We start from the raw sequence: 16320 nt of genomic DNA on the forward strand, positions 1-16320 counted from the left end.
TATATAAATACATACATACATACATGCATACATACACACATACATACATACATACATACATACATACATACATACATACATACATAAAAATGATTATTCTACTGTATTCTACACAGGCAAAAATACTTTTAGAAATGAACAAGAAGATCTCATTCACAGAAGCAACAAAGAGTATAACTATTTAGAAATAAACTTCACTAGAGATGTGCATGACCCGTGTAAAGAAAACTACCAAACTTTATTTAGAGCTATAAAGATGGCTTGAATAAATAGAGAAAATAACTGTTCCCAGATGGGACTTTATGTTATAAAGATGTTACTTTCCCAAAAGTTAACTTATACATTTAATTCAATCTCAATCAAAATCTCAAAAGGATTTCTCCAAGGAATTATATAAAGTTATTCTAAAATCATTTTGAAAATAGATGAGAAAAATAAATAAAATTCAATAAATGAAAAGAAATGAGAGGAAACTAGATATAAAAATTATTAGAAAGCAATAACAAAGTACTGTAGAACTTGCACAAAAATAGAAATATGGATCAGAATTTAAAAATCTAGAAATAGACCTAATTGCATACAAGAATTTAATGCATTACAAAGCAGGTATCAACAAGCCATGGGGAAAGGAATTCTTGATTAATAAATTGCGCTGATAGTTTTGAGGAAAAGTAATTAGTTCAGAAACACACCTTTCCTCACACATCAGAAAATAAACGGTGGAGAGATTAAGGAGTCAACTAGAGAAGTCAAATGAAAGAAACCTAGCAGGAAATAGAAGGAAAAATTTATCTATTCCTTGGAGGGAGTGATAATTTCTCAAGTTTCATACTGATAAAAGAAAGTATAAATAAAAAGATAATTCAACAATATAAAAAGTACAAAAGCTTTGTAGGAAAGAAACAAGATAACTAAAATTAAAAATAGTCTATGAAACACATTTGTAGCAGTGTGTCAGGCAGCGTTGATAACTATAATATAAGGAGTTCACACAAACCGTTATAAAAAACAAAACTCCCAGAGGCCAGCAGATGAATGGGCTGGACAGAAAGTCCACCCATGGGAAGGTGCTGTTAGCAAACACAGGAAAATCCACCTCTCCGGGAATCCAATGGGAGGTCACTTCACATCTATTAAATAGCAGAAAATGAAAAACAAAGGCTTAATTGCCACATCAAATGCTTGTTGAGTTGTGGTAAAACCAATCTTCTTGCACACTGACAGGAAATGATCTTTTCGAAAGCAATTTGGCGTTACCATTGCAAGTACCATAAAAATGCCCACACTCTTTGACCCAATAATCTTCTTCTGAGAAAATAATTCGTTAGAAAGAAATGACTGCTTCAAAAAGATGTTCAACATGATTTATAATAACCAGAAACAGAAAACAATCTAAACCTCTAACAAAAGGTGATGTTTAAATAAATTAAAGAACATCAATTTAATGGCCAATTTATGCAACCATTGAAATGATAATTATGAAAACTGTAGCAACAGTGAAAAATGTTTACAGTATAATAAAGGAAGTTGCAACCAAAGCTGTAGTTGTGCCATAATTAAAAATATGTCTATGGACCAAGGACTGGAAGGGAATATAGAAGATGAAAATAGAACCATGGAGTCTGGCTCTATTATTTCCATTCTAATGTAATAGCATTTTTGTGTATTACATAAAAACTCAGACAAAGGAGTCTCTTTAGCTATAAGGTCAGCCTCACCTGACGTTCACTCCCTGCACTCCAGAACCCCTGTGCTGGGGGTGTGGGGCTATGGGCAGCCCTGGCCGTTCTTGTGAGGACTCACCCAGGCCTGGAGACCCAGGCTTCTACTGTGCTTCTCCTGGGGTGGCTGAAACGCCCTCCCCACCTCCCTGGAAAGGCCCCTCCTTCAGGACTCATCCTGGAGCTAAACATGCCCCCGAGGCTTCCTCACCTCCCTCTCTGTTTCTCAATCCCACTCCACCCCTACGGCACCTGCAACTCTCCCAGACACAGAGTTGCCAGAGTGTCCTGTGCCCTGCTCCCAGCCTGGGGTTTCCTTGAGGGCAGTGGTTCTATCCAGTTTGTGTCTGGAGGCCCGGTGCTGAGCTCTGGCCTGGTATAAGGCTGACATTGGTAATGGTTTGTTCACCACTCACGGATCCCTGGCCTGCAATTTTATGCCAAGCCTGGGTGGCACGTGAGGAAGGAGTGGACAGCATCCCGTCTTCCAGAAGCTCCCGGGCTAGCTGCAGAGGAAAGGAGCTCACATATCTGAGGCACTGGGGGTAGTTCCATGTCCTATTCCATTCCACCCCCACCCGGCCCTATAAGGGGAGCTATCATCACCTCTACTTTATAGATGCCCTCACAAGCTCAGAGAGGTAACGTCACATACAACCAATCCTGCCTGCCTGTTCCATGTGGTACTGCAGGACAACAACTAGCTTTCCATGTGGGCAATAAGATTTCTTTTTTTTTTTTTTGTATAATAAATGTCTACATTTATTCATCCTACATAACATAAACTTTATATCCTTTGACCAGCATCTCCCCATTCTCCCTTCTTTCCTGGCCTCTGGTAACCATGTCCTGTTCTCTATTTCTTTTTTTTTTTTATCATTATACTTTAACTTCTAGGGTACATGTGCACAATGTGCAGGTTTGTTACATATGTATACATGTGCCATGTTGGTGTGCTGCACCCATTAACTCGTCATTTACATTAGGTATATCTCCTAATGCTATCCCTCCCCCCTCGCCCCCCTCCCCACAACAGGCCCTGGTGTGTGAAGTTCCCCTTCCTGGAAACCATCATTCTCAGCAAACTATCTCAAGGACAAAAATCCAAACACCACATGTTCTCACTCATAGGAGGGAATTGAACAATGACAACACTTGGACACAGGAAGTGGGCAATAAGATTTCAATAGCGCTTTGCCAATGTGGATTGTGAGGGCTTAGCAGAAAGCCAGCAGAAAATCCAGGGCTTGTGCCTGTCCCTCCAACACCAAGCAGAGTCAAGGGCCCATGAACCACACTCCCTACCCCAAAGACCCTGGTTCCCACTGACACTTGGGCCACCAAACTGCAAATGGGACAGACCCACGTGCTGGAGTTAGTCTTGGGGACACTGAAATTCGGCACTGCTGACAATCTCCATGAGGCCTTTCCAATCCCCTGCCTGGACCTGGCCCAGTGGAATATGTACTTGGCTAAATAGTGTTCTCCAAAAAGTCACATCCACCCCAACCTCAGAATATGACCTTATATAGAAATAGTGTGTTTGCAGATGTCATTAGTTGAGATGAGGTCATATTAGATTAGGGAGGGCCTTACATCCAACACCTGGTGTCCTCATATGACGAGGAGAGAACACACAGAGACATTGCAGAGAGAAGAAGCCCATTTGAGGATGGTGGCAGAAAATGGGGGATGCATCTACAAGCCAAAGAAAGCTACGGCACACCAGAAGCCACAGAAGCTACAAGAGGCAAGAAAGAATTCCTCCCAAACTGGGAGAAGAATACATTTCTGTTGTTGTAAGCCATCCAGTTTGTGGAAATTTGATATGGTAGCCCTAGAAAACTAAAACAGTGGGCTCGATGGCGCAAGCTGGTGGTCCCAGCTACTCAGAAGGCTGAAGCAGGAGGATCGCTTGAGCCCAGAAGTTTGGGACTGCCATCAGCTATGATTGTACCACTTTACTCCAACCTGGGTGACAGAGCCAGAGGGAACAGGGGAGGGAGGAAGGGAGGGAGGGAGGGAGGAAAGACAGGGGAGGGGAAGGGAGGGGAAGGGAGGGGAGGGGAGGGGAGGGGAGGGGAGGGGAGGGAAAAAACAAAATACCTGGAAAGAGCTTTTCCTTAAATAGAGTTCCCTGCAGCCTCCACCCTCCCAGGCTGATCCTGGCCTGGGAATGGCAAAGACCAGCTTCTTCTAGGTCCACCTGAGCTATCCAACACTTATGAATGAAGCTATGGTAACTGGAGCAGGAGGAAAGAACCCTCCTGAGCTTGGCCTGGGACTCCAAGCACAGCATTTCCCCGGGCTCCAGTCCGCTCCACCCTGATGCAGCCAGCCACTTCCCACTCCCACCTGGAGAATGCACCTAGAGTCCAGGGTGCAGTCCGGGAAGCCTGGGCTAGGAAGAAAAGACAGAAGAGAAGACAGAGCTACAGCATCCTGGGGAATGGGAAGGGCAGAGAGTGGGAGCTTTGGAAGCAGAAAGACTGGGTTCAAATTCCATCTCCACCATTTACCAGCTAGGCGGTCTTGGAGAAGTTGCTGAACCCTCTCTATTGCTAGTCCATATGTTTAGGCCAAAATGCACAGGCCCTGGAGGGTCCCCTGCCATCCAAGGAAGGCTAAGGGAATAAGTGCTTAGCTTTCAGGTGCCCCCCACCCACCAGCCCATGGGAGCAGAAAAGAGACAATGAGGCCGGCTCACCACGAGGACCAAGCCACAGGCCACAGACCAGCTGAGAGGTACCTCACCTTGGACCTGCTGCTGGGGGCCCTGGCAGACTCTAGCTCAGAGTGGCTTGTCGATTTTCTGCTTCAGGTTGCACTGAAGAAACATCAAAAATCAATCAGCTCCATCTATCTATCTTTGCCACTGACACCCTTCATTTCCATTCATTTTCCTTCCTGTTGTGCTAATGGTGTGTGGCTAAGCCACAGCATAAAAGAAGATATAAAATTACACAGCATTATCTTTCCCCTGAGCCTGCACACATGTGCTTTTCTCTCCATCTCTGCCAGCTCTTTAAAGGGGGAGCAGACACACATCTCACCCAGATCTAGACCCATTTTCAAGGGGCCTACCATCCAGCAGATGGACCCTTGGCCACAAGGAACTGTTCCAACCTTGTATCCCCACCTTCCCAAGGAAAGGGGGAGCAGGGACCCCCAAGGCCCGAGAATGAGAAAGCCAGTGCATCCAAAAGCCAGTGCATCCAGCCCTCTGCCTCTGAGCAGTGTTTGCCTGAACCATTGTCACCATTGGTCCCAGGATGGACAATCATCACTGATAAAGGACCCCAAGGACCCCTTCTGCAATCAGTTTCTTTACCCTTCTTAAGGCCTCAGTACTATTAAAAAGAGCAGATGTTCACAGCCCTCGGATAACAGCTTTCTGATTCAACAGATCAAACACATTTCAGGTGTCTTCATTGGTTTTGTACCTGAAAGACCCTCTTAAGTCATCAAGGCTATATTTGCACCCCCAAAAATGGGCTCAGACACAGCCATGATTTGCTGCCTGGCTCCCAGGCCACCTGACTGGCCCTCACTCTACTTCTGGCCTTCCCTGGCTCCCAGCCCGCCACCTACTTCTGTGCTAAAAGCCTCACTTGGCTCACACAGCTCCATTTATTTGACCCTTAGCTTCCCTCCTCACCCTGGCACATGGTCTAGGTCACAGCCAGGTGAGGTCTCTGCAGGATGTGGCCCAGCCTGGCAGGCAGATCCTGGACATGAACAGCAGCTCCTCCTTGAGACTCACTCCACAGGGGCCACCATGCCTTCTTGGGAGACACATCTGCAGCAAGAGGCAGTAGTCCTCGCCCAGCAGAGGAAAAGAAAGGGGAACCAGGGGCAGCACTGATGAGCCTCGGAGGTTTGAGAAGCACTCTGGGGTACTTTTTGTGAATGAAAACTTCTAACACCTCCTTGGGAATTTGATGCAACCAATGAATCCTCTCCCCACCTCCCCACAAGGTCTATGCTCACATCCACAGAGCCTCTGCCTACAACCTCACATGGCCAAGGATGCTCAACCATGAATCGCAGTGAAAGGTTTGTGGATGTGCTTCTTGATATGATGATATTTGAAACACACAGCACCCCCAATCCTGTATGCTTACCACAAATGCCTTCCCTGGATCACACTCACCTCCAGACCCAACTTCCAGCTTGCAGGCAATACAGGGGACAGAGGAACAGGTTAAATGTCACCCTAAGGAAGCAATTGGCTAGATTCAGTAGCTGAAACATTCTACAGGACAACTGGCCCATGCTATACAAGTCAATGTCATAGGAAAGAAAGGGGGTTGTTCTAGACCTTAGTTACTCAAGGTGTATTTCTTGAACCACCAGCAGCAGCGCCAATTGAGAGCTTGTTAGAAATGCAGAATCTCAGGCCCTCCCTGGACCTAGAAGCAGAATCTGCATTTTAGCAAGATCTCCAGGTGATCTGTGTGCACACACAGAAGTCTGACAAACACTCGTCTAAATAGGAAGAGATTTATGTGAAATAATGAATCACATGTGTTGTCCTGGATTGAATCCCAGCTGGAACCAATCAGGTATAAGAGATATTTTGGGGGCAATTAGGGAAATTTGAATATGGATTGTGTTAGACTATATTAAGAAATTAGAATTATTCTGCTAGGCATGAAATGTAGGAAAATGTCCTCCAATTTTTAGGGATGCATACTTAAGTGTTTAGAAGTAAAATGCCATGATGTCTGTAATTTACTTTGAAATATTTCAACAACAAAAAATAGATGAAGCAGATATATGACAAATGTTAACAATGTTTAAATCCAGATGTAAATGGCTATGTCCATTACACTAGTCTATACTTCTCTGTATGTACAAAAATATTTTTAAAAAAATTAGAAATATAAGGAAAGAACCTCTTACTTCATTAGAGTTTTTCTGAACAAAGAGTGGAGCACTGCCCAGGAGGATGTCAGCACAGGTTCTCTCCCCACATGACAGAGACTGTGCTCAGCAGGAAGGAGGGGCACAGGGAAGAAGCAGGCAAGGGGAGAGCATGCCTCTCTCGAGCACTCACTATCTAAGAGGCATGACAGCTGCAGATATTTATTTTCCTCATTGATCTTCCTGCCATTCCATGAGGTGGTCTCATTAGCTCCCTTTTACAGATGAGGAAACTGAGCCACCTAATGGACATCGCGTTGCCCCACATCACACAGTTATTAAGGGTTGTGGACAGGATTTCACTGACAGCCCTGGGCTCTCTCCAATCCACCAGCAGCTCACCCAGTTGCACAGGGAGCTATTTGAGAAGCCTCACCTGAATCTCTTCTGGGCACTCAGATGTCAGCAGGAGACGCCAGCAGGGCTCGTCCTGAGCCGTTCCTGTCTCTCCTGGGGCTTTTCTGGGCACACCCTCTAAGATCTGCCTCCACATGTTATCTCCAGGCTTAATTGACCTCACTGCCTCTGACCTTTTAAAGACACACCAGTTTTCCCTTTTTAGTCTCAGGTCATTGGTCATTACTTCTCGTTGCCATGGTTTTTCCTATCTCCATCATTTCCTCCCCTCCAGCTGGAGACTCTTGCAGGCTGTGAAGCCCCCAACCCTGGTAGTGACTCTCTCTGCTCTTACCCCACTCAGAGGAGGCATCAAGAGGGGCCCAAGGGCCTACCCCAGCTCACTCCATTGCACTTCTCTGCACCTCCTACCTGTCCTGCCTCCTCAATAGCCTGCTTCAAAATGCATTCTGCCCCTCGGCTCACTGTGTGATGTCTCCTGGGAAGCCCAGAAGCTGTGTGTTTAAGATGCACCAGGACAAAGAGAAGGCAGGAGCCCCAACATACTTATGTTGAGAAAGACATCTGGCAGAGGGGACTCCTCCTCTTCCTGCCCCTGGACACATGCTCCACATGTCCCACCCTCAGCTGCCTCACTCAGCTCCCTGTGAATCCTGACCCTTGCTCACCCCTGGCTCTGCTGCTGGGGTTCCACAGAAGAACACTTCTGCTCCTGGACCTCTGAGCAGGACCCAGTAGGCACCTGCTAAGCCCCACAGAACTATGCCTCTGTCCACTATCCTGAGCACAGAAGGCATGGCAGATTTCAGGGCTGCTGACAGAGGCCCCCAAAGGCAGAAAGAGAAACTGGGAGGAAGCTAACACACTGGTAAGGTATGACTCATGGCCTGGCACTGTGCTCAGTCCTGCCATATCCATCATCTCTGTCGATCTCCAACACTCCTGTAAGATATGAGCTACGATCTCCATTTTACAGATGGAAAAATGAAGGCTTCAAGAGGGACAAGGAAACTTGTCTTTGTCAGAGAAGCAGGGGTTAGAACTCAGGCTGGCAAACTTCAAAGCCACACGCTTTCCATGGTCAAGGTGTGGGTGTTCTCAGCCCTGAGCCTCTTGGTCTACATCTGGGTTAGAGCAGTACTTTAAAGCATCTGGGTGGCGTTGTCCCTGTCTGCGGTGGTTAATTTCATGGGCCAATTTTTCTAGGCTATGGGGGCCAGTTATTTCGTCAAACATGAGTCTAGAGGTTGCTATGAAGGTATTTTTCAGATGTGATTAACATTTAATCAGTAGATTCTGAGTAAAGCAGATTACCTTCTATAGTGTGGGTAGGTCTTATCAGCTGAAGGGCTTAAGGAAAAAAAAAAAAAAACTGATGTCCCCTGAGGAAGAAAGAATTCTGCCCTAGACTGTCTTCAGACTCAAGACTGCAACATCAACTCTCCCCAGGTCTCCAGCCTGCTCTGCAGATTTCGCACTTTGCCAGAGCCTACACTCATGTAAGCTAATTCCATCTCTTGGGGGAAGCCCTCCCTCAACTTCCCATCATTGGTCAGGAGCACACGACAGGTGCTGAGAGGCAGGGCCTGTGCCTGCTCTGAGATGTGTCCCATAAGCCTATCTCTATTTCTCTTAAACTGATGGGAAGTGACATGGCTGGGCATTGATCTTGGCTTTAGGATTGTGTAAAACCCAAAAGAAAGAGTTGTTACTGCATAACCATGTGATTCTCAGACCTCACTGCCTTCTCCTTGGTCCCTCATGCCTGGGAAGCACTAGAATGTCTAACATCACATCTGAGGCCCCAAAGGCTGTGGAGGCAGCAGCCAGTGGGGAGGAGTGAGGGCCTCTGCATGCAGACATTTCTCGGTTTGCCCCCCACCACCACCATAATAGGAGGAGTGGCAGCATTATCTCTCAGGAACAACAGGAACTGGGGATTCCAATAAGGTCTTCCCCTGGGGCCAGAACAGATGGCTCCCCTGGGATTTCAGAGAGGAGGATCACACAATGCCTCTGGCCCTCTGGGGAGAAAGGAGGGGCTGAGCCTCCCATTGAGCACTTTCTATACTTTGTCTACAATCTTCACAAAAATTCTATAACATTGTCTCCATTTTATAGTTGAGGAACTTGAGGCTTAAGGAGTTAAGACACAAGCCTTCTCTTTCTGAAGACCTTGATACAAGACATTTACAAATGCACATTCCTATGTTCCAGCCCAATTCCGCCCACCATAACTTGGGGGTGATCAGTGCCCCAACATCTACCCTGACTACATTTAGAAACACTTTTTCCTGCTGTCTCTCAGCCATGGAAAAGATGACTCCACCTGACCTGTGGATGCAGAGAGGAGGAAAAGCCTTCAGGGATCGTTCCATCAAAACCCTTTAGTCAAGGCTTTGGGCAAACAAGTGGGTACTAGCCTCTTCTCCAGATCTTAAAAGAAAGAGTCCTCCTCTGAGCTTAGGGACCTAGCTTGGGAGCCCCTCATGCTGGAGCCCCAGGCCCCAGTTGGTCCCCTGCTACAGCTCTGGCTCTCACAAGGACTGAGTATTCATGGGCTCTGGTGGCTTATACAGGGCTCTCTTGAGCCAAAACCAGTGGAGAAAGCTCTTTGTTCAGGTAACATTCCCCAATAGCTTCCTCCCAGTGATTTAAAATAGCTCCTAGTCACATTTGGCACTCCCTTATCTGATTCAAGGAGACTTCCAAATCCCAGGGACAGACAGGGGAAACTATCTAGAAATTTCCAAGTAGAAACCTGTGGTAACCTGGGCTCAGAAACCAAAGGGACTTCAAGATGAAGGCCTCCTATACTGGGCTCAGTTCCCTCCAATCTCTCCCTCCTGTGATTGCCATGATCTGGCTTCCAGAGGCCAGCAGTCGGAGCAGTGAAGAAAGGAGGAAGGGAAAAAGAGAGAGGGGGAAGAAGGAGGTCCAGCACCCAGGCTAGAAAACAAAGGTGTCCTCCAGAAACAGAGATCCAAAGTCCCTGAGGACCATGTTGACATTAAAGAGTCCTAAGGTACCCTAACAGCTAAAAGTTCCAGAGAGCCAGACAGTTCTGCCTTACCAGAGCTTAGGATAACTGTGTCTTCCTGGCGCTGTCCGAGGTACTGATCCACCTTTGTTGCGATACAGTTGGTATACCTAACACTGCACATAATCAATATCTATAGTTTGGTTAGTTTGGACATGTGTAAACAGTTGTGTCGCCCTCACCACAGTACAAGTAATAAACATATCCATTACCTCCAAAAATTACCTTGTGTCCCCAGATGATGACAAGTATTGGTGAAGATGTGGAGAAAATGGAAGCTTTGCACACTGTTGGTAAGAATATAAGTTGGTAATAGCCATTATGGAAAACAGTATTGGGTATTGGCAGTTCTATAAAAAACTAAAAATAGAACTACCGTATAATTCAGCAATCTCACTTCTGGACATGTACCCAAAGGAATTGAAATCTGTATCTCAAAGAAATATTGCACTCCCATGTCCATTGCAGCATAATCCACAATAGCCAAGGTATGCAAACAGCCTAAGTGGCCATCAATGAGCGAATGGATAAAGAAAATGTGGTATACATACACAATGGAATTCAGCCTTAAAAAAGAATTAAATCCTGCCATTTGCAATAACATGGGTGAACCTAGAGAACGTTATGCTTTGTTATAAGCCAGACATATAAAGACAAATACTGCACAATCTCACTTATATGTGGAAATCTAAAGAAGTAGAACTCAAAAAAGCAGAGCATAGAAAGGTGGTTGCCAGGAGCTGCTGTGGGGGGGAATGGGGAGATTTTGGCCAAAAGGTACAAACTTAGTTGCAAGATGAATAAGTTCTAAAGATCTAATGCACAGCACGAAGATTATAGTTAATAATAATGTACTGTATACTTCAAATTTACTAAGAGAGAATTTCTTAAGTTTCCTCACCACAAAAAAGAAAAATGTTAACTATATGAGGTGATGATATGTTCATTAGCCTGATTCTGGTGATCACTTTACAATGCATATCAAAACACCATGTTGTACACCTTAAATATTTTTATTGTCCATTATATCTAATAAAGCTGGAGGAAAATCAAGTAAAAACAAAATGTCCTTTGTTCCTTTGTTTTTGTTGATGTTTTTGTGCATATGTTTGTGCACTAAACATGAGATCTACGCTCTGAACAAATTTCTACATATACAATCTCCTGTTTTTAACTACAGGCACCATGCTGTGCAGGGGATCCCCGGAACTTACTCATCTCATACAACTGTAGGTTTATACCCATTGAACAACAGCCCCCTACATCCCCTCCCCCAAGGACCACCATTCTTCATCCCCACTCCTGGCTTCCACCTCAGTGTGAATTCTGCAGTCCAGAATTCTGCTCTCACTCCCTGCCATCCTGCCCATCTTGACTGTGCCACCCTAGACACTCACTTTCCAGCCTGCCCCACCTCCAGAAGCAGTTCCTCTTTATCCTCATGGATGTGCAAACTGAGCCCACCTCTGAGTGGCCAGCTGGGTCCGTCTACCTCCAGACCTGAACTAGGGCCCACCAGACATTGGGATGAGGCCCTAGCCCCTGGTCCCAGCCCCAGAGCCACTTCCAGAATCTGTGGATATTTGGTTGAAACAGGTCATTGCTTCTGTACATCCTGACAGATTGGAGAGGCAAGGAAGTCTATGCCCAAAGGAACTGGTGAAATACAAACACCAAACACCCAGCCTCAGAGTGACTGTGGGTCACTGTTCACAAGCCACAGACTCTCCCATGGGGTGGTATTGTTCAAAAGAGAAATCTACTATGCTGCAGAAGGAAATGTATTAGGTCCAATGGGAAGTATGTTAAATACACTTGGTTAGAGGATCTCTTAATCCATCTCATGTTGCTGTAACGGAATGCTCGAGACTGGGTAATTTATTAAAAAAACAGAGATTTATTCCTTACACTTCTGGAGGCTGGGAAGTCCAAGGTTGAGGGGCCCACATCTGCTGAGGGCTTTCTTGCCACATCATCTCATAGCAGAAGGCGGAAGGCACAAGGGCAGGAGAGCACGAGAGAGCACGAGAGGGCCTACCTCACTTCGGTAACAACTCACTCTCAATAATGAACCCACTCCCTCAATGACATTAATCCATTCATGAGAGCAGAGCCCTCACGACCTACTCGCCTTTTAATGGTCTCACTTCTTAACACCATCATAATGGAAATTAAATTTCAACATGCGTTTTGGAGAGGACACTCAAACCATAGCAGATGGTTTCTAAAAATATATTTATCTAGTAATTTATGTTTGGATATAGCCTATACTCTATGTCAGTAGGAAGACAATAGAGTAAACTAGTGAATTTAGGAAAACTTGTCTTAGTACTTAGGGTTTATAAAGTCACAATAGAGATAAGGGGCTAGGAAGCTTCAGAGCATTAATTTTCTTAAGACAACAGAGTAAGGTGAGTCCCAAAGACACAGCTGGAGTTTGACAAAGTGAAAAATGGGGTCCAGATGAGACAAGAGCCTACAGACAGCATCCTCGGTCATCCATTAAGGGCCCCCCTCCTTATACTAATGATACAATAATTAACAAAACCATAGTAGATAAAGTAACTGAGCAGTGTTGGGTCTTGTCAGAACTACCCTGGAAGAAGTACTGGCATAGTTTGCAGGGAGTTAAATGGTGGGCCAAGAAAGCGGTCATACATAAAAGGGATCATGCCTGCATGCTCATGTGTCCTGGGCACAGTACACAGCTGTTGTGGCTCCCGCAGGCATTGTTTCAACACAGTAAAGAATCGGAGAAGTCCACATGGCCTTCTCTGTTCTACCTGGCAGCATCCTGTCCTGGCAGCACCGCGTGGGAGGAACTCTGAACTAGAGATGGCAGCTTTTGTTCTCCCAGTGATCTTTATGGGGGACTTGAATTGCTAGCAGTGTGGCCTCTGACCTCCATGGTCACTGCCGTCAAAGAACCATCTAAGGAACGTCCAATAAGTAGAATGGGATCAATAGCCTTCAATGTCCTTCCTTCTGAAGTATATTTGTCCAATTAGCACACAAAGGTTGTACTGAAGTCCCTCCTCCTACAAAGCCTCACTGCTGGGAGAGACATCCTAAGAGAGGATGCCAGTGCCTCAATGATTTCAGCCTCTGAACTGTGTTTCCTCCAGCCAGGACACAGCTGGCTCTTCTCCATCTCTCCCTCACCACCTTTCCAGAACTCACAGCTTCAAGCCCACTACCACCCCTTTATGTCCAAGCCGGCTGGCCTGAGGCCACCTGCTAGGGTCAGCAGCCTCAGCTCCACCACCTGCACTGCTTGAATCACTTCTGCTGTTTGCTGAGCCAGAATCCTGTGCCCAGGGCAGTGCCCTCACCCTCACCTGGCTCTCCTGCTGGCTCTGACCTGACCCTGAGAAATTTTGAGGCAGCCCTCATACCTTCCTGGCCCCATCCCCAAGCCCAGATTCTTCTAACCAGGCCCATAGCCACTAGTGGGTCTCATGGTGAACAGACATAGCCCAATGCCCCCAAAGCTTTCTCCATCATGCTCTTCTCAATGGACTGTACCTCAAGGGGCTGCTCAGGACAGAGCCACACTGAGATTCTTTATATACTTGGCCATTGTGCCTCTCCATCCCCAGCACTTTCACCAGACCAGCATCTGTCATGGTGGTCCCCAGCCCTGTGTGGGGTAGAGGGGTGGGCAGCAAGACCCCATCAGCTTCCAACTTGTGTCTGACACCACCAATATGCCTTGAGCCCTCAGGACCCCAATCACAATTGGGTGCATCAGCCAGCCAGTGCCCTTGCTGAGGAGCAGGTACCTGAGTGTTGGGGAGAAAGGCATATATCTACCTGGTCTCCAGGCTTCCCACTGCGCCACGCATGGTTTCTGCAAAGAGGATGGAGACTCCAGAAAAGGCAGCTGATGGCCCTCAAACCTAGACAGACATGCCTGCTGCCCCTCTGTCACCTCAGCCCAGAGACTCCACATCTGCTGGAGCACCCCAGTCTGCTGGAGACTGAAATGCCCCCACATTTATTTTTGGAGCATCCAAAAAGCCAAAGTCAGAGGAATTTACAACTTGGCTGTCTTTGGTAACACCATGCAGCAGTCTGTTCAGTAATAGCCTGTTATCTCTCAGCTCAGATCTCTCCATCCCAGACAGCAGAGGGTACAGGAAGGTGAGCATGACAGATTTCCAGGCAATCCATCCTGAAAGAGCCTCGTGGGTCAAGATGGAGGAGGAGCAGAGTGAGGAGGACATGGGCAGGAGGAAGAGGAGGGGCAGTGAGGACAAGGAGAAAGGAGAGAGGGAGGAAAGGTAGACTGATATTTTCTGAGACTCTCCTCTGTGCCAGCCACAGAACTAAGACACCATATAGTGGTACCTTGTTCAATCCTCCAAGAGCCTACTGAGCCGGAGTTATTCCCTCATTACCATTGACAAAAGGAGGGCTCAGAGATATTAAGAAATGTCCTTAAATCACATAGCCAGCAAGTACAGACTCAGACTGTCAGACGTGAAAGGCCATGCTCTTTCCACTGCACGGTGCAGCTTCAGCAAGCAGGAGGAGGATATCCTGGGGCAGCTGGGAGACCTAGTCGGGGCAGCTGGGAGACCTAATCAGGACAGCAGATGGGTGTCACCCATATACTTGCTCCCATAATGCTTTGCTGTATCATGGGGTGTGGCTCCACAACAAAACTTGCCTCCACCAAAGCCTGAGGGAGTTACTGGTTCCCATTTGGGCCTCTCTAGCCAGGCAGGGCAAATGCCTAGACCACACTTGTATGATAAATGCCTAGAGAGGTGCAGGGGCTCCTGAGAACACTGGGATGCCAGAGTGGAAAAAAAAAAATGCACTGCTGCCTTTCTTTTTCTCTTGCTCTCTCTCTCTCCCTCTGCCCTTCCATCCATCCAACCTGAGAGTTCAAAACTTAACTCAAAAAACTACTGGCAGTTTAGGCATGGTGGCTCACGCCTGTAATTCCAGCACTTTGGGAGGCTGACGTGGGAGGACCACTTGAGCCCAGAAGTTCTAGGCTGCAGTGAGCTATGTGACTGAACCACTGAACTCCAGCCTGGGCAACAGAGTGAGACCTTGTCTTAAAAGAAAAGACAAATTGGCAGCCTCACAATCTGTTTTAATTAGCTGATTTTGAAACCCTTGATCTATAGGTCTGAGATTCTCACAGATTATTCAAACCAGGGTATCCACCAATGTAAACAGAACTGGGGAGCCCACTTCTGCATTGGGGGCTGGCCTTTGTTTCCCAGCACTTGTAATTTGTGCAAAGTGCCTTGTGGCTGACTGCCACCGCACAGGCTCTTTCTGCTGACAGGGCACTTCTGTAAAGTTCAGGCTGCCTCAGCTACTGTGAAGTTAAATGTGGGTGAAAACAAGGCAAACCTATCTCCAAATGTTTCTAGATGGCTTAGCTCCTTCAAGCCCAGATGACATCAGAGTCATTTCACTTTCAAAACAAATTCCCCCATGCTGGAAAAATGACTTTCCACAGTGGTGCCAAGAAGTAGCTGGAGGAAATGCACTCTTTGGTCTCCCACCCCACCCTAAACACACCGTCCCTTTCTTTGCTGGAGCTAATGACAAGAGCACTCACCCATCGCCTCCCAAGGAGCAAGTTCACCCTTCATTAGTCAGCAAAGGGAGGGGACTGCTTTCCTTCCAATCCGCTCCTCCAAAAGGATTTCTTCCCATCTGCCTCTGGCAGTGGATTCAAAAGCCTTGGTTCTGCCTCCCCGAAGTCCATGGAGAGGCCCATCTTAGACCCCAAGGGCCAGTGAAATAGGAAGCAGTGGGTGCCATGGAAGGAAGGTTCCGATCTTGGTTCCAACACTCACTAGTCCTGCGACTTGGGCAAGATGTTCCACCTTTCTTCAAATCACTGTCGATCACATCTCACAAGGTGACTTGGGAGACTGAGCCTTTTATAAACTATTAGGAGCTATCAGGGCTGTGACCTGCACCACCCCAGGGGATGCCATCCACATAGACTGCAGTGAACAGAGCCTGGAGTGTGTCTTCTGCAGTAGGGGGGTGTCAGTGGACAAACCCCAGTGGCCACATTAGCGGTGGCCCACCCACTGAGGGAGGAGCAACAGGACACCCAAGAGGCTCTGCAGCACAGGAAACCAGGACAGAGGATCCCAAACTCAGGCACGCCTCAAGGATGCCTAGCATCTTGCAGAGCTGTGGCAACGAAACAACAGAGCAGAGCACAGGCAGCCTCAGGAGGCCCCAAGCCTTTAGCCACAGCTCAGCTAGCACAGGCTCTAGGGCTGAGAGAGGCCA

General features: G+C 46.9%; 1 protein-coding gene across 1 annotated transcript in view, besides 1 other annotated feature; it reads right to left on the reverse strand.

Moving 5' to 3' along the window:
* The window catches only part of GRID1 (glutamate ionotropic receptor delta type subunit 1), a 767244-nt gene that overhangs the window by 697196 nt on the left and 53728 nt on the right, over positions 1–16320 (reverse strand). The gene's annotated exons all lie outside the window — the stretch shown is intronic.
* Positions 1442–1942: an enhancer, noted in NCBI's record as "H3K4me1 hESC enhancer chr10:88057946-88058446 (GRCh37/hg19 assembly coordinates)". NCBI's record gives its function as "activates a minimal SCP1, AML or CMV promoter by ChIP-STARR-seq in naive H9 embryonic stem cells {active_cell/tissue: H9 hESC(naive)}" and the evidence as "EXISTENCE:reporter gene assay evidence [ECO:0000049][PMID:30033119]".

This window comes from Homo sapiens, chromosome 10 (assembly GCF_000001405.40).
Source record: "Homo sapiens chromosome 10, GRCh38.p14 Primary Assembly".
Lineage (NCBI taxonomy): Eukaryota > Metazoa > Chordata > Mammalia > Primates > Hominidae > Homo > Homo sapiens.